The 21023-nt window shown below is 46.7% G+C and overlaps 1 protein-coding gene across 6 annotated transcripts in view, besides 5 other annotated features; it reads left to right on the forward strand.

Annotated features, from left to right (window-relative positions):
- Positions 1333–2269: an enhancer, noted in NCBI's record as "H3K27ac hESC enhancer chr1:227898535-227899471 (GRCh37/hg19 assembly coordinates)". NCBI's record gives its function as "activates a minimal SCP1, AML or CMV promoter by ChIP-STARR-seq in naive H9 embryonic stem cells {active_cell/tissue: H9 hESC(naive)}" and the evidence as "EXISTENCE:reporter gene assay evidence [ECO:0000049][PMID:30033119]".
- Positions 18401–19006: an enhancer, noted in NCBI's record as "H3K4me1 hESC enhancer chr1:227915603-227916208 (GRCh37/hg19 assembly coordinates)". NCBI's record gives its function as "activates a minimal SCP1, AML or CMV promoter by ChIP-STARR-seq in naive H9 embryonic stem cells {active_cell/tissue: H9 hESC(naive)}" and the evidence as "EXISTENCE:reporter gene assay evidence [ECO:0000049][PMID:30033119]".
- Positions 18401–19019: a biological region, named in NCBI's record as "H3K4me1 hESC enhancer GRCh37_chr1:227915603-227916208".
- Positions 18667–21023, forward strand: part of SNAP47 (synaptosome associated protein 47) — a 53059-nt gene continuing 50702 nt past the window's right edge. For 5 of the 6 annotated variants that reach the window (NR_136654.2, XM_047444119.1, NM_001323932.2 and 2 more), the window contains exon 1: positions 19130–19285. The gene's annotated coding sequence lies outside the window, so the exon portion shown is untranslated. Of the gene's footprint in view, positions 18784–19129; positions 19286–21023 lie in introns of those variants that run through there. The other variant, NM_001323933.2, reaches the window with a different exon arrangement.
- Positions 18680–19019: a silencer, noted in NCBI's record as "silent region_1898". NCBI's record gives its function as "represses an Ori minimal core promoter by ATAC-STARR-seq in GM12878 lymphoblastoid cells {active_cell/tissue: GM12878}" and the evidence as "EXISTENCE:reporter gene assay evidence [ECO:0000049][PMID:35858748]".
- Positions 20820–20869: an enhancer, noted in NCBI's record as "active region_2680". NCBI's record gives its function as "activates an Ori minimal core promoter by ATAC-STARR-seq in GM12878 lymphoblastoid cells {active_cell/tissue: GM12878}" and the evidence as "EXISTENCE:reporter gene assay evidence [ECO:0000049][PMID:35858748]".

Genomic DNA, 21023 nt, shown 5'->3' on the forward strand with positions numbered 1-21023 from the left:
ACAAGAATAGACAGTGTGTGGTAGGTTATATTTCTGTTCACCTAAAACCTGGTCCTTCCTCCCTGTATTAGTCAGCTGTGTCTGCCATAACACATTCCACGGACTGGGTGACTTAAACAACAGAAATTTTGTTGCTCACAATTCTGGAGGCTGAAAAGTCCAAGATCCAGATGCCAGACAAATCACTTCCTAATGAGGTCTCTCCTCCTGGTTTACATATGACACAGCCTTCTTGATGTGTACTCACATAACAGAAATAGCTAGATCTCTCTCTTCCTCTTCTTATAAGACCATCAATCCTACTGGATTAAAGGTCTCAACTCTTATGACCTCACAAGAGGTCACATGGGTGCCCTCCTAAGAGGGTACCTTCATAAAAAGGCAGCCACATTGGTAGTCAACATAACCAAAATCTAGACATGTAGTCAGCAAGTCTACATAACCAAACTGTAATAAAAACTTTGTTTTTTTTTTGTTTTTTTTTTGAGGCCAACATTTCTTTTTTTTTTTTTTTTTTTTTATTGATCATTCTTGGGTGTTTCTCGCAGAGGGGAATTTGGCAGGGTCACAGGACAATAGTGGAGGGAAGGTCAGCAGATAAACAAGTGAACAAAGGTCTCTGGTTTTCCTAGGCAGAGGACCCTGCGGCCTTCCGCAGTGTTTGTGTCCCTGGGTACTTGAGATTAGGGAGTGGTGATGACTCTTAACGAGCATGCTGCCTTCAAGCATCTGTTTAACAAAGGACATCTTGCACCACCCTTAATCCATTCAACCCTGAGTGGACACAGCACATGTTTCAGAGAGCACAGGGTTGGGGGTAAGGTCACAGATCAACAGGATCCCAAGGCAGAAGAATTTTTCTTAGTACAGAACAAAATGAAAAGTCTCCCATGTCTACCTCCTTCTACACAGACACGGCAACCATCCGATTTCTCAGTCTTTTCCCCACCTTTCCCCCCTTTCTATTCCACAAAACCGCCATTGTCATCATGGCCCGTTCTGAATGAGCTGTTGAGTACACCTCCCAGACGGGGTGGTGGCCGGGCAGAGAGGCTCCTCACTTCCCAGTAGGGGCGGCCGGGCAGAGGCGCCCCTCACCTCCCGGATGGGGCGGCTGGCCGGGCGGGGGGCTGACCCTCCCACCTCCCTCCCGGAAGGGGCAGCTGGCCAGGCAGAGGGGCTCCTCACTTCCCAGTAGGGGCGGCGGGGCAGAGGCGCCCCTCACCTCCCAGATGGGGCGGCTGGCCGGGTGGGGGGGCTGACCCCCCACCTCCCTCCCGGAGGGGGCGGCTGGCCAGGCGGGGGGCTGACCCCCCCACCTCCCTCCCGGACGGGGCGGCTGGCCGGGCAGAGGGGCTCCTCACTTCCCAGTAGGGGCGGCCGGGCAGAGGCGCCCCTCACCTGCCGGACGGGGCGGCTGGCCGGGCGGGGGGCTGACCCCCCCACCTCCCTCCCGGACAGGGCGGCTGGCCGGGCGGGGGGCTGTCCCCCCCACCTCCTTCCCGGACAGGGTGGCTGGCCAGGCGGGGGGTGACCCCCACCTCCCTCCCGGACAGGGTGGCTGCCGGGCGGAGACGCTCCTCACTTCCCAGACGGGGTGGCTGCCGGGCGGAGGGGCTCCTCACTTCTCAGACGGTGTGGCTGCCGGGCGGAGGGGCTCCTCACTTCTCAGACGGGGCAGTTGCCAGGCAGAGGGTCTCCTCACTTCTCAGACGGGGCGGCCGGGCAGAGACGCTCCTCACATCCCAGATGGGGCGGCAGGGCAGAGGCGCTCCCCACGTCTCAGACGATGGGCGGCCTGGCAGAGACGCTCCTCACTTCCTAGATGGGATGGCGGCCGGGCAGAGACGCTCCTCACTTTCCAGACTGGGCAGCCAGGCAGAGAGGCTCCTCACATCCCAGACGATGGGCGGCCAGGCAGAGACGCTCCTCACTTCCCAGACGGGGTGGCGGCCGGGCAGAGGCTGCAATCTCGGCACTTTGGGGGGCCAAGGCAGGCAGCTGGGAGGTGGAGGTTGTAGCGAGCAGAGATCACGCCACTGCACTCCAGCCTGGGCACCATTGAGCACTGAGTGAACGCGACTCCGTCTGCCATCCCGGCACCTCGGGAGGCCGAGGCTGGCGGATCACTCGCAGTTAGGAGCTGGAGACCAGCCCGGCCAACACAGCGAAACCCCGTCTCCACCAAAAAATACGAAAACCAGTCAGGTGTGGCGGCGCGCACCTGCAATCGCAGGCACTCGGCAGGCTGAGGCAGGAGAATCAGGCAGGGAGGTTGCAGTGAGCCGAGATGGCAGCAGTACAGTCCAGCTTTGGCTCGGCATCAGAGGGACGAGGCCAACATTTCTGAGACTGGGCAGTTTACAAAGGAAAGAGCCAAACTGTAATAAAAACTTTGAACACAGACTCGAATGAGATCCTTGTGTTGTCAATGTCCTGTGGGTACTGATATGTATTGTTGGCAGAAATAGACAATGACCACAAGGCTCCACAAAGAGCAAACAACTAGAAACTTGTGCCAGGTGGTTCACAGATCCTGTGCTATGCACCCTGTTCCTTGGTTAATTTTATTTGAGCTTTTCATAGTAATAAATCATAACTGTGAATATAAAGCCTTTTCTAAGTTCTTAATTCCTTCTAGGATTACTGAACCTGTGGGTTTTCTTGGGGACACCCAAATTTGCAGCTGTTATCAGAAGAATCATAGGCTTGGGGACATCTAAACCTCTTACAGAAAAAAACAACATAGAGATAAGCACGCCAAGGGTATACAATGATAAAATTGTCACACACAAAAAAAGATAACAGAAATCTGGGTAAATACAAATAAACAAAACAATGGAAATGGTAGATATGTGAGTAAACATATATATTAATCTTATTTCTGAACTCATTGAAAAGTCACTGACCCTTTGAAGCAAGAAAATAATGTATTGTGGAGTTTATAACATGTAGGAGTAAAAAGTATGATAAGCATGGAAGCTGGGAAGAGCTAAAGGGAAGCATCTTATAAAGTTTGTATATTATACATGAGATGGCATAATACTACTTGAAGGTAGCCTGTAAGTCAAACATGAATATGATGAACCATAAAACAACCATCAGGCCAGGTGCAGTGGCTCATGCCTGTAATCCCAGCACTTTGGGAGGCCAAGGAGGGAGGATCACTTGAGGCCAGGAGTTGGAGACAAGCCTGAGCAACACAGTGAGATCCTGTCTCCACAAAAAAATTTAAAAATCAAAACAAAAAAAATCAAAAAAGTTACAACCAATAATCCAAGAAAGGCACTCATAGGTCATATAGAAAGAGAAAGTGGTCTAAATCTGGCATGGTAGCCATAATTTGCATATTTCTATTCAGTATGAGTTGCTTCTGTGGAAGAAAGACTTGACTTGGTGTAGTTAAAAAGAGAGAGAGAGAGAATGAGATGGACAATCTGAAGCAAAGTCTAGAGTACAGGAAATGTACATGTGACACAGATAGAAAATATTAAGTAGAGACAATAGACTTTATTTTTTTTTTAAGACAGGGTCTCACTCTGTCACCCCAAGCTGGAGTACAGTGGTGTTATCTTGGCTCACTGCAACCTCCACCTCCCAGGTTCAAGCGTTTCTCCTGCCTCAGCCTCTCAAGTAGCTGGGACTACAGGCATGCATCACCATACCCAGCTAATTTTTGTATTTTTTGGTAGAGACAGGTTTTACCATGTTGGCCAGGCTGGTCTCAAACTCCTGGCCTCAAGTGATCCACCCGCCTTGGCCTCCCAAAGTGCTGGAATTACAGGCGTGAACCACCATGCCCAGTCAGATTTTATAATATAAAATACTTAAAAGGGGGGGGGGGGGTGCCAAGATGGCCAACTAGAAGCAGTGGCAATTGGAGGCTCCCATTGAAAAGATCCAAAATGGCACGAAAATCCTGCACCAGCAACCGAGATATCCAGATTCTGTCATTAGGACTGACTAGGTGGTTGGCATGACCCAATCAGAGAAAAGAAGAGCAGTGTGGTGCGGCAGCCCACCTGAGAGTGACAAGGGGCAGAGGAGCCCCCACTCCCAGCCAAGGGAGGTGGTGAGTGAGAGTGCTACCCTCACTCATGCTTTTTCCACAAAACTGTGCAACCCACGGATCGGAAGATCCCACTCGGGAGCCCACGCCACTGGGGCCTTGGGTCTCAATCAGGGAGCTGCGCAGATTCTCAACAGCCACTTGGCTAGAATCGGCCTAAGCCTGCTGAGTTCCCAGGGAGAGGGGCAGCCATCACCACTGCTGTGGCTGTCTGCCATCTAAGCCATCTGAGATCCTTGGTGGAGGGGCAGCTGCCAACACTGAAGCTGCAGGACCTCCCTGCGGGAACTCCAACTCCACTCAGGGGCTTAGGTACAGAACTCTGATCTCCCTGGACCTGAGCCCCTAGGCGGAGGGGTGCCCATAGTCTCCGCGGACCAGCAGACTTATTCTTTCCTCCTTCTAGCTCTGAGGAATCCGGGCAGCCCAGACGAGTGGGTTTCCCCCAAATGCAGCAAACCTCCTTCACCAAGGGACAGCCAAAGTGCTATGTTAAATGGGTCCTGCTTCCTGTGCCACCCAACTGGGTCAGACCCCCCAGCAGGAGCTGTCAGATATCCTATACAGGAGCGTTCCTACTGGCATCAGGTTGGTGTCCCTCAAGGTCAGAGATTCCAGAGAAAGGAGCAGGCCTTGGCTGTTCTCCAGGCTCGAGTGACATCTCCAGGTGTGGGAGCAAACCAGATGAATAGTGACTGAAGTGAACCCCCAGCAAACTGCAGTAGCCCTACAGAAGAGGAATCTGACTATTGAAAGAAAAACAAAAAAACAAAAAGCAACGACAGCATCAACAAAACAAGTACCCACGAAAACCTCATCCAAGGGTCAGCAGCCTCAAAGATTGAAACTAGATAAACTCATGAAGATGAGAAAGAGTCAACAAAAAAAAATCTAACTCAGCGTTAGAGAAGAGGACAGACTGCCTCTTCTCTAAATGATTGCAACATCTCTCCAGCAAGGGCACAGAACTGGACAGAGGATGAGATGGACGAATTCACAGAAGTAGGCTTCAGAAGGAGGGTAATAACAAACTTCACTGAGGTAAAGGAGCATGTTCTAACTCAATGCAAAGAAGTTACAAACCTTAAAAAAAGGTTAGAGGAGCTGCTACCTAGAATAACCAGTTTAGAGATGTACATAAATGACCGGATGGAGCTGAAAAACACAGCAAGAGAACTTCGTGGAGCATATACAAGTATCAATAGCCCAATCAATCAAGTAGAAGAAAAAATATCAGAGATGGAAGACTATCTTGCTGAAATAAGGCAGGCAGACAAGATTAGAGAAAAAAGAATAAAAAGGAATGAACAAAACCTCCAAGAAATGTGGAACTATTAAAAAAATGAACCTAAAACTGATTGGAGTACCTGAAAAAGACAAGGATAATGGAATCAAGTTGGAAAACTTGATATTATCCAGGAGAACTTCCCCAACTGAGAAAACAGGCCAACATTCAAATTCAGGAATTACAGAGAACCCCACTAAGATAGTCCACAAGAAGATCAACCTCAAGACAGATAATCATTAGATTCTCCAAGGTCGAAATGAAGGAAAAAATGTTACGGGCAGCCAGAGAGAAAGTTCAGGTTACTTACAAAGGGAAGCCCATCAGACTAACAGGAGATTCCTCAGCAGAAACCCTTACAAACCAGAAGACAGTGGAGGCCAATATTCAACATTCTTAACAAAAAGACTTTTTTCAACCAAGAATTTCATGTCCAGCCAAACTAAGCTTCATAAGCAAAGGAGAAATTGAATCCTTTTCAGAAAAGCAAATGCTGAGGGACTTCCTCACCACCAGGCATGCCTTGCAAGAGCTCCTAAAGGAAACACTTAATATGAAAAAGAAAAACCGGTACCAGCCATGGCAAAACACACAAAAATGTAAAGACCAATGACACTATGAAGAAATGGCATCAACTAGTGTGAAAAATAACCAGCTAGCATCATGATGACAGGATCAAATTCACACATAACAACATTAACCCTAAATGTAAATAGACTAAATGCCCAAATTAAAAGACAAAAACTGGCAAATTGGATAGAGTCAAGACCCATCAGTGTGCTGTATTCAAGAGACCCAGCTCGTGTGCAAAGACACACATAGGTTCAAAATAAAGGGATGGAGGAAAATTTACAAAGCAAATGGAAAGCAGAAAAAAGCAGGGGTTGCAATCCCAGTCTCTGACAAAACAGACTTTAAACTAACAAAGATCAAAAAAGACAAAGAAGGACATTATATAATGGTAAAGGGATAAATTCAACAAGAAGAAAAGCTAACTATCCTAAATATACATGTAACTAATATGGGAGCACCCAGATTCATAAAATGAGTTCCTACAAACCTACAAAGAGATTTAGACTCCCACACAATAATACTGGGAGATTTAACATCCCACTGTCACTATTAGACAGATCAATGACACAAAACTAAAAGGATATGGCCTGGTGCAGTGGCTCATGCCTGTAATCCCAGCACTTTGGAAGGCTGAGGCAGGTGGATCATGAGGTCAGGAGTTCGAGACCAGCTTGACCAACATGGTGAAATGCTGTCTCTACTAAAAATACAACAATTAGCCGGATGTGGTGGCAGGCGCCTGTAATCCCAGCTACTCAGGGGGCAGAGGCAGGAGAATCACTTTAACTCAGGAGATGGAGGCTGCAGTGGGCCGAGTTTGTGCCACTGCACTCCAGCCTGGGCAACAGAGTGAGACTCTGTCTCAAAAAAAAAAAAAAAAAGGAAAAAAAAATTAAAAGGATATAAGGATATTCAGGACTTGAACTCAACTCTGGATCAAGTGGACCTAATAGATATCTACAGAACTCCCCACCCCAAAACAACAGAATATATATTATTCGCAGTGTCACATGGCACTTACTCTAAAATTGGCCACATAATTGGAAGTAAAACACTCCTCAGCAAATGCAAAAGAACTGAAATTACAACAGTCTGTCAGACCACAGTGTAATCAAATTAGAACTCAGGATTAAGAAACTCACTCAAAACCACACAACTACATGGAAATTGAACAGCCTGCTCCTGAATGATTCCTGGGCAAATTATGAAATTAAGGCAGAAATCAAGAAGTTATTTGAAACCAGTGAGAACAAAGAGACAACATACCAGAATCTCTGGGACACAGCTAAAGCAGTGTTAAGAGGGAAATTTATAGCATTAAATGCCCACATCAGAAAGCTAGAAAGATCTCAAATCAACACCCTAATATCCCAATTAAAAGAACTAGAGAAGCAAGAGCAAACAAACCCAAAAGTAGCAGAAGACAAGAAATAACTAAGATCAGAGTACAATTGAAAGAGGGAGAGACAAGAAAAACCCTTCAGAAAAATCAATGAATCCAGGAGGTGGTTTTTTGAAAAGATTAACAAAATAGATAGACCATTAGCTAAACTAATATAGAAGAAAAGAGAGAAGAATCAAATAGACATAATAAAAAAAGATAAAGGGAATATCACCACTGACCCCAAGAAAATGCAAACTACCATCAGAGAATACTATAAACACTTCTATACAAATAAACTAGAAAATCTAGAAGGAATTGGTAAATTCCTGGACACATACACCCTCTCAAGACTAAACCAGGAAGAAGTTGAATCCCTGAATAGACCAATAACAAGTTCTGAAATTGAGACAGTCATAAATCACCTACCAAGCAAAAAAAGCCCAGGACCAGATGGATTCACAGCTGAATTCTACCACAGGTACAAAAAATCAGTAACTTTCCTTCAGAAACTTTCAAACAATTGAAAAAGAGGGACTCCTCCCTAACTCATTTTATGAGGCTAGCATCATCCTGATACTAAAACCTGGCAGAGACACAACAAAAAAAGAAAATTTCAGGCCAATATCCCTGATGAACAATGACGCAAAAAATCCTCAATAAAATACTGGCAAACCGAATACAGCAGCACATCAAAAAGCTTATCCACCATGATCAAGTTGGGTCCATCTCTGGGATGCAAGGCTGGTTCAACATACGCAAATCAATAAATGTAATCCATCACATAAACATAACCAATGACAATAACCACATGATTATCTCAAAAGATGCAGAAAAGGCCTTCAATAAAATTCAACATCCCTTCATGTTAAAAACTCTCAGTAAACTAGGTATTGATGGAACATATCTCAAAATAATAATAACTATTTATGACAAACCCACAGTCAATATCATACTGAATGGGCAAAAGCTGGAAGCATTCTAAATACCAAAGGACATCATTAGTTAACAAATGCTAGACTAACTAGATACCAAAGCTTGCTCTGTGAAAAATCCCCACATAACCATTGAAGTTTACAACACCCTAAACCCTGCCACCTTGCTCCCAGTATCAGAGAGCCCAGTTAAACATAACTATGTAGAGGTATTAGACTCAGTTTATTCTAGTAGGCCCAACCTCCAAGACCATCGTTGAACATCAGTAGACTGGGAGCTGTACGTGGATGGGAGCAGCTTTGCCAACCCCTGCAAAGTGACTCTGAAGAAGACCACAAACCCTGCTCCAGTCACATCTGGAAGCTGACTAGTCCACGCATGGCTGAAGCATGAGGAAACTCATCACAGGACTCATTTTCCTTAAAATTTAGACTTGTACAGTAAAGACTTCAACTGACCTTCCTCAGACTGAGGGCTGTTCCCAGAGTATACATCAAGTCACTGAGGTAGGACAAAAGGTTGCTACAGTCCTATTATTTTACAGTTATTATAAGTGTACTGGAACTCTAAAAAGAACTTGTTTTTATAATGTTATTCTATACAATTATTTATAATACAATATACAAATAATGTATTTAGCCCAGGAAATGACCAACCTGATGTGTGTTATGACCCATCTGAGCCTCCCATGACCACAGTTTTTAAAATAAGATTAAGAACTGAAGACTGGTGGGGGCTCATAAACAATATGAGTAAAGTGTTAGCCAAAATAAAACAAAAAAAAGAGATGCCCAAACAAGTCACCTTAAAATTTGATGCCTGTGCTGTCATTAATAATAATAAATTAAAAATAGGATGTGGTTCTCTTAATTAGAAAATAGACTATATGGCAAAAAATAAGTACGTTTATCATGAATTAAGACTGTGTGAAAATAAATGTAGATACTGGTCTTGTGTCATTTAGGCTACTTGAATAAAAAAAAAATGAAAAAATCCTGTCCACCTTCAGCAAGGGAAAACTGGCCCTTCCTATACCAGTGGTCAGTGTAATCCCTTAGAACTAGTTATAACCAACCCCCTTAATCCTTGCTAGATAAAAGAGAATGTATAACCCTGAAATTGATGGAGCTGGACTGGATCTTCAAGTAAATATCGTGGTTTGAGAAAAAGTTTATAAACACTCTCCTGAGCCAGTATTTCAAACCTTCTATGATGAACTGAATATGCCAGTACCAGAAATTCCAGGAAAAACAAGAAATTTGTTCTTGCAATTAGCCGAGCATATAGCCCAGTCTGTTAATGTCACTTCATGTTATGTATCAGCACAAGTGTACTATATGAATCATTATCAACCTATTGCACAGGAAGACATAAGTAGTGAAAATAAGAGTGAGAACTCCCACTAATAAAAAGTGAGAGTCTCAAAGGGGGGAAATGAGAGAAGAGAGACAGACCCTCTCATATTGTTTTATATTATTTTATACTCAGAAAAGAAAAGAAAAACAAATGGCAGGTAGCCCAGCGCCTAGGAACCAGACCTGAAACCAAGGAACCAGACCTGAAATGAGGCCTGGGCCTGCCTGACCTAAGCCTCGTAGTTAAAAGTTGACCCCTGACTTAACTGGTTATGTTATCTATATATTCCAGACATTGTATAGAAAAGACACTGTGAAACTTCCCAGTCTGTTCTGTTTCACTCTGACCACTGGTGCATGCAGCCCCTGTCACGTACCCACTCCTTGCTCAATCGATCACGACCCACTTATGCAGACCCCCTTAGAGTTGTGAGCCCTTAAAAGCGACAGGAATTGCTCACTCAGGGAGCTTGGCTCTTGAGACAGGAGCCTTGCCGATGTTCCCGGCCAAATAAACCCCTTCCTTCTTTAACTCGGTGTCTGAGGAGTTTTGTCTGCAGCTCGTCCTGCTATATCTTCTTCTCCTTTGTCCCTCTTTTTCTCCTCTGTCTCTCTTTTTCTCCTCTGTCTCTCTCTCTCTCCTCACTGTCTCTCTCTCTCTCCTCTCTGTCTCTCTCTATCCTATCTCCCTCTCTCTCCTCTCTATCTCTCTCTCTTTCTCTCTTCCCCTAGGGTAGGGACCTACAGGAGTTGAGCTACTCTTTCTTCCCCTGAGAAGAAAGGAAGCGGGGGGTTGTTTCAGGTTCAACCCTTGAAATTAGCAGAATTCTCAACCCCTCAACACGAGGGATGTCTTGCCTTGCCTGTCCCAGAAGGCTCAACCCCTCAAACCAGGGGGTGTCTTGCCTTGCCTGTCCGGGAAGGCTCAACCCCTCAAATCAGGGGGCGTCTAACCTTTCCTGTCCTGGAAGGCTCAACCCCTCAAACCATGGGGTGTCTTGCCTGTCCTGGAAGACTCAATCACTCAAACCAGGGGGCATCTTGCCTTGCTTGCCCTGGAAGGCTCAACCTCTCAAACCAGGGGGTATCTTGCCTGTCCTGGAAGGTTCAACCCCTCAAACCAGGGAGTGTTTTGCCTGTCCTGGAAGGTTGACCTGTTTCTCCCCTTTCCTCCTCTGAAGGTCCTTTGCACACTTCCCACTCATGCCCTCCTCTCTGGCTGCTCCCCCAAGGTAGAATCAGGCCCTTTTTAGTGTTGGCATACCAGTATAAATCCTATGGCAGGATCCGCCCTAAGCCATATGAAGTAGCTATGGAACCACAGAGAGGACCCACTCACCCCATCCAGCAGGACTTGTCACCATCCACATGAACAACACCGCAAGCAGGGTTGTTTGTGATCATTCACGCACACACACATTTAGCCCTCCAGAATTTGACCACCAAGGAAGTGCTTTACCGGCTCCCGCAGCTTCGCCTTCCTTGGTCAGTGCACAGAGTTGTCGCCACAGTATGTGAGGATCCTTTAAGCTAGGTTGCTGGCCAGTTTTTTTTTTTTTTCTGCATTGCTGAGAGCTCGAGTTATTCCTTGCACTGGGTGGGTCTTGATTTCTCACCCCTGAGGCCGCCACAATAGGGCAGGGTGCACCTCCTCATGAGAGAGAACCAGAGACCATCCTCGGAGGGGGATGTAATCCTAGACAAGCCCCCAAATTGTTATATATAAAGTTTTGGTGACACAAAAGAAATAGCACTCAAATATAAAATTTTCTTTTTAATTCTCAGCAAGGCAAGTTACTTCTATATAGAAGGGTGCGCCCTTACAGATGGAACAATGGTGAGCGCACACTTGGACAAGGGAGAGGAAGGGGTTCTTATCCCTGACGCACGTGGCCTCTGCTGCTGTGTCATTCCCTTATTGGCTAGGGTTAGACCGCACAGGCAAAACTAATTCCAGTTGGCTAATTTAAAGAGAATGACAAGGTGAGTGCTTTGGCAGGAGTCAGGGCAGAGCAGATAGCAGGTAATTGGAATGAGTTAGGGTGGAGCAGGTGATTGGAATGTAGGGTGGAGCAGGTGATCAGAATGAGTCAGGGTGGAGTAGGTAATCGAAAAAGGTTGCTTTACGAGAAAGTTAAGTTTAAAAGTAGAAGGCAAAGAATAGAACATACTGACATATTCTTTGAAAAGAAATTTAGAACTCATATCTAACAACTCTAAGCCCCCAGGCCTCCCCCAACCATCTGAATGGACTTCTCTGCCAGGGCATTCCAAAGTTAACCAGAAAGACTGGTTCTGGCAGTGATGGGAAGTGAGGGTCAGACATGCCTCATTATAACCTCCAGCATTAACATTAACACAGACCTTAAGTCTGACAGAAAACATTTACGATCTATTCTCTCCAAAGACTGCTACCTGGAGGCTTCATCTGCATGATCAAACTTTGGTCTCCACAACCTCTTATCATAACCCAGACATTCCTTTCTATTAATAATAACTCTTTCAACCAATTGCCAATTAGAAAACTTCTGAATCTACCTAGAACCTGGAAGCCCCACTTCAAATTGTCCCGCCATTCTGGACCAAACTAATGTATATCTTAAATGCATTTGATTGATGTCTCATATCTCCCCAAATATATAAAACCAAGCTGTGCTCCAACCATTTTGGGCACATGTTCTCAGGGTCTCCTGAGGGCTGTGTCACAGGCAATGGACACTCATATTTGGCTCAGAATAAATCTCTTCAAATATTTTACAGGGTTTGACTCTTTTCATTGACAAGAGTGTGTGTGTGGTGGATCTGAACTAGGAAAGAGGTCCTTCACAGGGTTTTCTTGGAGCCCCTGCCATTACTGCCCTTCCTCTTCAAACAGCAAAATGTGGAGTTTGAGTCATCGACTTGGTCCGGCCTTGAGTGGTGAAATGGAGGGTGGAGCAAAGTGGGGGTAGAGTTTGGGGGGTGGTGGGTAGGGGTGTGAGAGATTTCACTCTTGTCCAAGACCTCCTTCTGGTTTTCTGTTTTCCTAATGCATGCTCTGCCTTGTTCAGATTCCATTATCCTGTTAGAAATGCTTGTTCCCCAGTGCCACAAAGAAATCACACTCGAACATAAACTTAATTCTCTCAGCAAGGCCATTTTTACTTTCTGCAGAAAGGGTGCTCCTCGTGTTGTGGGAAGTCAGGAACCCTGAACGGAGGGACCAGCTGAAGCCATGGCAGAAGAACATGGATTGTGAAGATTTCATGGACATTTATTAGTCCCCCAAATTAATACTTGTATAATTTCTTATGTCTGTCTTTACTGCAGTCTCTGAACATAAATTGTGAAGATTTCATGGACACTTATCACTTCCCCAATCAATACCCTTGTGATTTCCTATGTGTGTCTTTAATCTATTAATCCTGTCATCTCATAAGCTGAGGAGGATGTATGTCGCCTCAGGACCCTGTGATGATTGCATTAACTGCACAAATTGTAGAACCATGTGTGTTTGAAAAATATGAAATCTGGGCACGTTGAAAAAGGAACAGGATAACAGCAATGTTCAGGGAACAAGAGAGATAACCTTAAACTCTGACCGCCGGTGAGCCAGGCAGAACAGAGCCATATTTCTCTTCTTTCAAAAGCAAATAGGAGAAATATTGCTGAATTCTTTTTCTCAGCAAGGAACATCCCTGAGAAAGAGAATGAATCCCTGAGGGTAGGCCTCTGAAATGGCCGCTTCGGTGGGCGGCCGTCTTTTATGGTCGAGCTGTAGGGATGAAACAAGCCCCAGTCTCCCATAGCGCTCCCAGGCTTATTAGGACAAGGAAATTCCCGCCTAATAAATTTTGGTCAGACCAGTTGTCTGCTCTCAAACCCTGTCTCCTTAAAGATGTTATCAATGACAATGCATGCCTGAAACTTCATTAGCAATTTTAATTTTGCCCCAGTCCTGTGGTCCTGTGATCTCGCCCTGCCTCCATTTGCCTTGTGATAGTCTATTACCTTGTGAAGCATGTGATCTCTGTGACCCACACCCTATTCATACACTCCCTCCCTTTTTGAAAATCACTAATAAAAACTTGCTAGTTTTGCGGCTCAGGGGGCATCACAGAACCTGCTGACATGTGATGTCTCCCCCTGACTCCCAGCTTTAAAATTTCTCTCTTTTGTACTCTGTCCCTTTATTTCTCAGACCAGTTGACACTTAGGGAATATAGAAAAGAACCTACGTGAAATATTGGGGGTGAATTTCACCCAATATCTGGCTGAATTTTGCCCGATATCTGGCTGAATTTCCCCTGATATCCTCGCAGATGGAACAATGATGAGAGTACACTTGAACAAATGAAAAGCAGACATATTTATCCCTTATGCATTTGGGTCATCCTTCTGCTGTGTCCTGCATCCATTGGCTGGACCTGGACCTCACAATCTTAAACTGATACCTGATTTGCTAACAACCTGAAACTTTCCTAAATAGGTAAGTGCAAGGGAGAACAAAAAAGGAGAGGAAATTGCTTATGAAAGGTTTAAAGAAGCAATAACATTTCCAAATAAGGAAGGGGCATGAGCTATGAACTAAGACTTGCTGGGGCCTGTCCAGACATGCCTGAGTAAGGCAAAGCAACTAAGTGGGCTAAAGTGTAAGAACTAATAGTTGATAGGGGGCTTTAGAGCAAGAAGCTATTATCTCTAGTGTCTATTATTTTATTTTTAAACTAAGACGAGCTCTGAAGAGGAACTTTTCTACTTTCCACACTCTCTTATTCTACAATTGCCCCTCAGTGACTCCATTCTGTGGAACCTGGACGCTCAGCCTTGATCTTCCCAGGGCCCTCTTGCCCCTGTGAAAGGAAAATAAATCTCAAGACCCTAAACTAAATAAGCCAAACGGAAAAGTCAGTCTGGGAACTGGGTCACACAAACCTGCCTCCCATTTCGTGTCTACATAAGATAGCTACAAAGATTTAAAAAAAAAAAAAAGCATCGCACCTCTCTCACAATTTGCCCACAAATTGTGGGCTCCAAGATTTTTACCCTAAAACAGTTCTGTTTCATTTCACCCTGACAATGTAAATTGATAGCTTATATTCACAGGTATGGAACAAAGAACAGAACTCAAAGTCATCCCTCTGCCTGAGATATATGCATATCTGATTGCTTCCTGTGCCCTATGTTTATTTTATCTTATGCAAAAATGCAGATTCACCAAGCTAGATAAATGTGTGACTATTTCTCTACCCACCCCCCCAACGTAAATTGTGTATTCATTGAATGGCTGATCAAAGACTCAAAAGGATGCAACCGCTTGCCTCTTATTTACCCACACCCTTTTCACAATTCCTTCCTCAATCCCCAATACCCACCCTTTTCATTTTAAATGTTGAGGTCCCCAGATCCTCCTTGGAGAAACCATGGGCCACAGTTTTTCCCGTGGTTCTGTATTCTTTTCTATTCCACATCCTTAACCTTGGAAAATAAACCTCTTAAAGTGATTGAGACTTGCCTTGGTCATTTTTTTTTTTTTTTTTTACACCTCAGACTTGGAATCCCTAATCCCCCTTCCTCAGACTCCCGGATCCCAGGGCTTTCTCTTAAACACCCATTGGTATCACATCTGGGGGTACCTTAAATACAGGACAGTGGGGAGGGGCTGGGTAGAGGGAAATGTTGCCTGATATTCTGCCCTCTGGGATATGGATCATCATTTCCTCCCTTTGTGGGCCTCAGGCTTCTATCCATAAAAATGGAAATAGGAACACTCATTTGGTTGTGTAGACCTTACCCAGAGCCCACCTCTAATAATATAAAGGCCAAGAATGCAATCCCCTTTTTTCCCCAAGAAGGTAAAGTCCTCAGAGCCAAGGAGAGAAGGCTCAAGGATGATAACCATGTATTGTAGTGTAGAGAGCACCCTTGACTTAAGTAACCCCATCTTAGAAAAAAGACTCCATTTTACATTTCTTAGGACACTTTGACAACAAGGATAAGATATTTTGCTTAATAAATTTTAAAAAAAGGCCTGCATCCAACCATATAAGGATATAAACAAGCATACTCATCCACTATCAGTTCTCACCAGTGGACTCTGTTGTCATAAAAATAGCAGGCCATCAGCAGCTCAAAACAGCTGTCTTAACTAACACCATCTTGCTGGCACTCATAATAAGAACTCGACATCTGCTGCCAAAGCCTCTGTCTGCCCCATCAAAGATTCTTTCTTGCAAGATTGATGGACTGCCTGGCCCAGACCAGAAGATTCTCTTTGTCTTCATTTAAGTTCTCCTCGAACTGGTTCTTTAACATTTTCTCCTATCTCTTCTCTTGATGTTAATGTTACTTTGTTGTCAAATGTTTAATCTATAACATTTACATATTAAGTATACTATTAGGTAGTGTTTGCAATATTTACTGACTTGTGGAGTGGCTTGAGCCTGTGTGCCTGTGGCTCTGACTACCTAGTGAACGGGAACTACTAAGGAGAATTGCCTCCTCGGGAACTCCATGTAGCTTGTGGCTTTTGTGATTGAATAGAATCAATAAAAGCCTGACATTGTGGAAAGACACATATATCCATGGGCTTCCTTGTCTCTGACCTTGCACCACACTTGAGATACAGTTTTCAGTGTTCCAGTTTACATGTCTGTCATTAAAGTTATTTCTAATTATTTTGCTTTTGAGTTTATTGTAAATAGAAGGCTTTTTAAATTTCATTTTCAATGCTCATTTCTTAAGTGCAAAAATATAACCAATTTTTTGCATCTGTTAAGTTTGCTGAATTCCTTTATTCTAATATGTTTTAGTGAATTTCTTACATTTTTCTAAATATAAGATCATATCATTTGTGAACAAAGATCATCGTACTTCTTCCTTTCCAATCTAGATGGCTTTTATTCATTTCTGTTGCCAAATTGTCCTGGTTAGCACCTCCAGTACAATGATAAACAGATGTCATTAGAGTGGATGTATATATCTTGTTCCTGATCTTAGGACATTAGTATACAGGCTTCCACCACGAAGCATGGTGTTAGCTGCAGGGTTTTCTTTCCTTTTTCTTTTTTTTTTTTTTTTTTTTTTTGAGACAGAGTTTCACTCTTGTGGCCTGGGCTGGAGTGCAATGGCACAATCTTGGCTCACTGCAACCTCTGCCTCCCGGGTTCAAGCGTTTCTCCTGCCTCAGCCTCCCAAGTAGCTGGGATTACAGACATGTACCACCATGTCCAGCTAATTTTGTATTTTAAGTAGAGATGGGGTTTCACCATGTTGGTCAGGCTGGTCTCGAACTCCTGACCTCAAATGATCCACCCATCTTGGCCTCCCAAAGTACTGGGATTACAGGCGTGAGCCACTGCAGGGTTTTCATGTGCCCTTTAGCAGTCTGAGCATATTCCCTCCTGTTCTTATCTCGTTGAATGTTTTCATCATAAAGATGCTGGATTTTGTCAAATTTATTTTCTGCATTTGTTAAGATGGTCATGTGGTTTTGTTTATGATTGTATTGATATGGCATATTATATTAAATGATTTTTGGCTGTTAACCAATCTTGTATTGGGAGGAATCCAACTTTGGCATGGAAGATAATTATTTCTATATGTTGCTGGATTCTGTCTTCTTGTACTTTTTTGAAAAATGTTCCATCTTTAGTATGGGGACAAGAGTCACTCCTCTTAGATTCTAATCTGCCACACTGATGCCTAACTAAGCATGAGTCTGGGAGTGCCTCCAAGATGTCTAGTTGAAGTCGTACTCTATGTAGAAACACCTATCTACCGTAAGTCTCGCCATTCCTCCAAAACAACCCTCGATGCTACAGCATACATCATAAACTGTGATGCCCATAGCACTATTTCAGTTGCCTGCACATTCCTTCCAGGACACATATACTTTTTCCCCAAAAATATATAAGCCCTGAGTCTAGGGGGTAACAGTGCAGAGATCTACCCGTCTTGTGGCTGCCCAAGACCATGCTTCTGTGAGTTCCCCAAAAAATCACCTCCAAGTGACAAACTGGATTTGTCTGCCTCATTCTTTGGTTTCTCAGTTCCTTCTGTGTTTGGGAGTCACTTTGCATATATGGCCTCTTCAGAAAACATAGTCTCAAAACCTCACACCAAAGACCAATGACTAGCAGAAATTCTTGAGCTTGCAGGATGGCACATAAGAAAATAAACAACTTGCTGAAACCCTGAAACTCCCCCATGTTATGATATCAAGAAAAAAAATTGAGGGAGAAAAAAACAGGGAGACACTGTCCCTACAAAAAGTAAAAATAAGTCTAGCGTGGTCGGGCATGCTGTGGTCCCAGCTGTTAGGGAGGCTGAGGTGGGTGGGTCGCTTGAGCCCAGGAGTTCCAGGCCACTGTGCCCCAGCCTGGGCAACATGGAGGGAGGCTGTCTCTTAAAAAAGAAAAAACTGCCTGAAACCAATTGGAACCAATATGGCCAGCCGGAATTTCCACAGAATGAGCTTGTTGACTTCATGGCCTGAATTTCGATGCATGTTTCATACTAACTCCCCCTCAGTTTGCACATGGGACCCATGAGGTGACGTGAAGAGATAACTGCACATACCTGGGAACTTCTCAGACCTCCTCGTTTTCTTTTTCTTTAGAGACAGTCTCACTCCGTTGCCCAGGCTGGAGTGCAGTGGCACAGTCTTGGCTCACTGCAACCTCCGCCTCCCAGGTTCAAGCGAATCTCCTGCCTCAGCCTCCCAAGTAGCTGGGATTACAGGCCTGCGCTACCACGCCCGGCTAACTTTTCTATTTTTAGTAGAGACGGGGGTTTCATCGTGTTGGTTAGGCTGATCTCGAACTCCTGACCTCAGGTGATCCACCCACCTCGGCCTCCCAAAGTGCTGGGATTATAGGCCTGAGCCACCACGCCCGGCCATTCAGTGTATTTTCTAATGTCCCTTTTCATTTCTTCTTCGACCTTTTCATAAGTTTGAAGTGCACTGATTGATTCCACATATTTAAGTTGCCTGGAGTTCCTTCTGAACAGACAGCAGCCTGCCGGGCTGGGAGAACAAGGACCTGGGGTTGTACAGTCTGTGGCGCACAGAGTCCCTGCTGGAACCACAGGCGGTGAGTCAACGGGCACCTCCGGGCTAGGAGGTTTTCCCAGGCTCGCCTCATTGCTCCTGCACCTGCAGGGTTCGCTGGACCCTGGGCGTCCCGCTGCCCGGAACACAAGGGTAGGGAAGGGTTGTTACTGGGTTTCTTGGCTGGGGCTGCAGGGCCGGTGCTTGCCACCGGAGCGGGGGGGGCGGGCCCCGCTGTGCTCAGAAGGGACCTGAAGCCAGGGAAGCCCCAGGGTCGTCCTGGGCCCCGCCGCCCGCCCTGCCTGCCCCGCCTGCCCCTCCCATCCCGTCCTCTCCCCGCCTCCCTCCCAGCCCCGCCCCACCTGGCTCTCCCGCCCCGGTCCCGCCTCCTTCCTCCCGCCCCTGCCCTCTCGATCCAGCCTCCCGCCCCCTCCCCGCCTGTCCCTCCCGGCCCCGCCCCGCCTCCCGCCCCAACCTAGTGCCCGACAGGAAACCTCCCACCTGGCACTGCCCCCAACCAAAGTCATGAGGGCAAGGCTCCGGTTCCTGCCCTCACAGGGTCCCAGAAGCAAGGGCAGTGAGGACCTGGCCCACGTCCCTGGCACGGGCTGTCTGATTCTCCTTCGCTGTGGCGGGAAGATGGCCGGATTTGAAGGTAATACCCAAGACCCCGATTCCCGACAGGAGAGGCGAGGGGAACGGTCTCGGGAGCAGGCAGGCCCTGCCGCGGAGCCGAAGGCCTCCGATGGGAGCAGGCACGCATCTCTGAGTGGGGCCGCGGGGGTGGACACTCTGGTGCCTTCACGCAGGGGAGGGGGGCGGCAGGCTGCAGAGGAAGGCCAGGATCCACGAGCTGCGGCTCTCTAGGTGGGGCGAGGGGTCCAGGCGGGGTCTGATTAGGGCGTGGGGCCCCAGGTGGGGTCTATCTGGGGTGTGCGTCTGCAGGATTCTGCCCGTGGATTTTCCTCTAGCTTCAGGACAGGGTTTGGCTCTCCCAGAGGAACAGGGTAGGAGCCCAGCTCCAGCTGTTTTCCTGTAGGTCAGAGCCTGCAGTGGGAGGGTAACTGGGGCCTGTGGAAGGGGACTTCTGGGGTCAGACCCCAGGCAGGAGTGAGAGGCCCAGGTCCCTGGAGTTCCTGCCTCCAGGGCTGCTGACTTTGGGGGTACAGACAACAGGACACTGGACATCTTGGTCCCTACCCTTGGCTTCTAGGCCAGTGGAACAAGTCACTGACTTGGAAACCAGGGCCTGCCTTCTTTCTGCCTGGGGACCCAAGGTGCAGCTGGTAGTTGCAGTTCTGTGGGACGCTGGCACAATCACCTGCCAAAACCACCCACAGTGGTGGATGGGGGACAGGGCTGAGGTTGACACTCTGGAGCATGGATGAGCAAAGGGAAGGATGTGGCCTTGGATGTGGCTCTCAGGGATGCCCCAGACCTGGGATGTGGGCTTCAGGGTAGCTGGCCAAGGAGCTGCCCCTTCGGCTGGGTCAGCAGGCGGAAAGGCACAAGCATGAGGATGGTCTTGGTCCCTGGGGGAGGCACCTTCTCCGGAGGCCACAGCCCCCAGGATGCAGGGAGCCTGGTTTTGCCACAGCCAGCAACAACTTGACCTGGGGCTCCTGTCTCCACCTCCATGGATTCCAGCCAATCACAATTGCAAGCCCAGGGCAGGGCAGGCACGTGCTGGAGGAGCCCCTAGGCCCCATCATGTTCCCTCACTCTGTGTCCTCCCAGGCTAGAGTCTGTGCAGACAGCAGGGCCTGACTTTTCCAGCCTTCCTATGGGGGCCCACAGGTCCCACTCCCCAAGGAATCTGGGCCACTGCACGCCCTCACCCAGGCATGGTGGGGTGCACAGCCATTGTCCCCACACTTGCAAGTATATCCATCTATGTGCAGCTCCCACGTAGCCTTAGGTCTTGAGCATCTGCATTGTTTCTCTGACCCCTTTCCTCAGGAACACTAGTTAGCTGCAGCCTGCCTGTCCTTTCTCACACTTGATAGGGATGACACGCAAAGGGCAGGGGCTAACCACCGCACATCTGCAGCTCCTCACCTCGTACCCCAGGAGGTTGGTTCCCAGGGAGACGTGGCCTGTCAGGCCTCTTGCAGAGGTGAAATTCCCTTTGCGAAGGCCCTCACATGTGCTGACAGCATGCCTCCCCAACCCCGGACAGGATCCCAGGGCGGCATACTTGGGAAAGGGGCATCCTGCCTGACACTTCAAACTGCTGTCTAGCCACACTCTGCACAGCGGCTGCCCCACAACCCACCTGGCCCTGGTGTCAGCATTTTTTTTTTTTTTGCCAATCTGGAGTGAGGTATGCAAAAGGAGTCATGGTCATTGACTATGGAGTCATCGATGCCGGCTGCAGTTCAGCCGTTGCCCTG

Source organism: Homo sapiens, chromosome 1 (assembly GCF_000001405.40).
Source record: "Homo sapiens chromosome 1, GRCh38.p14 Primary Assembly".
Taxonomy (NCBI): domain Eukaryota; kingdom Metazoa; phylum Chordata; class Mammalia; order Primates; family Hominidae; genus Homo; species Homo sapiens.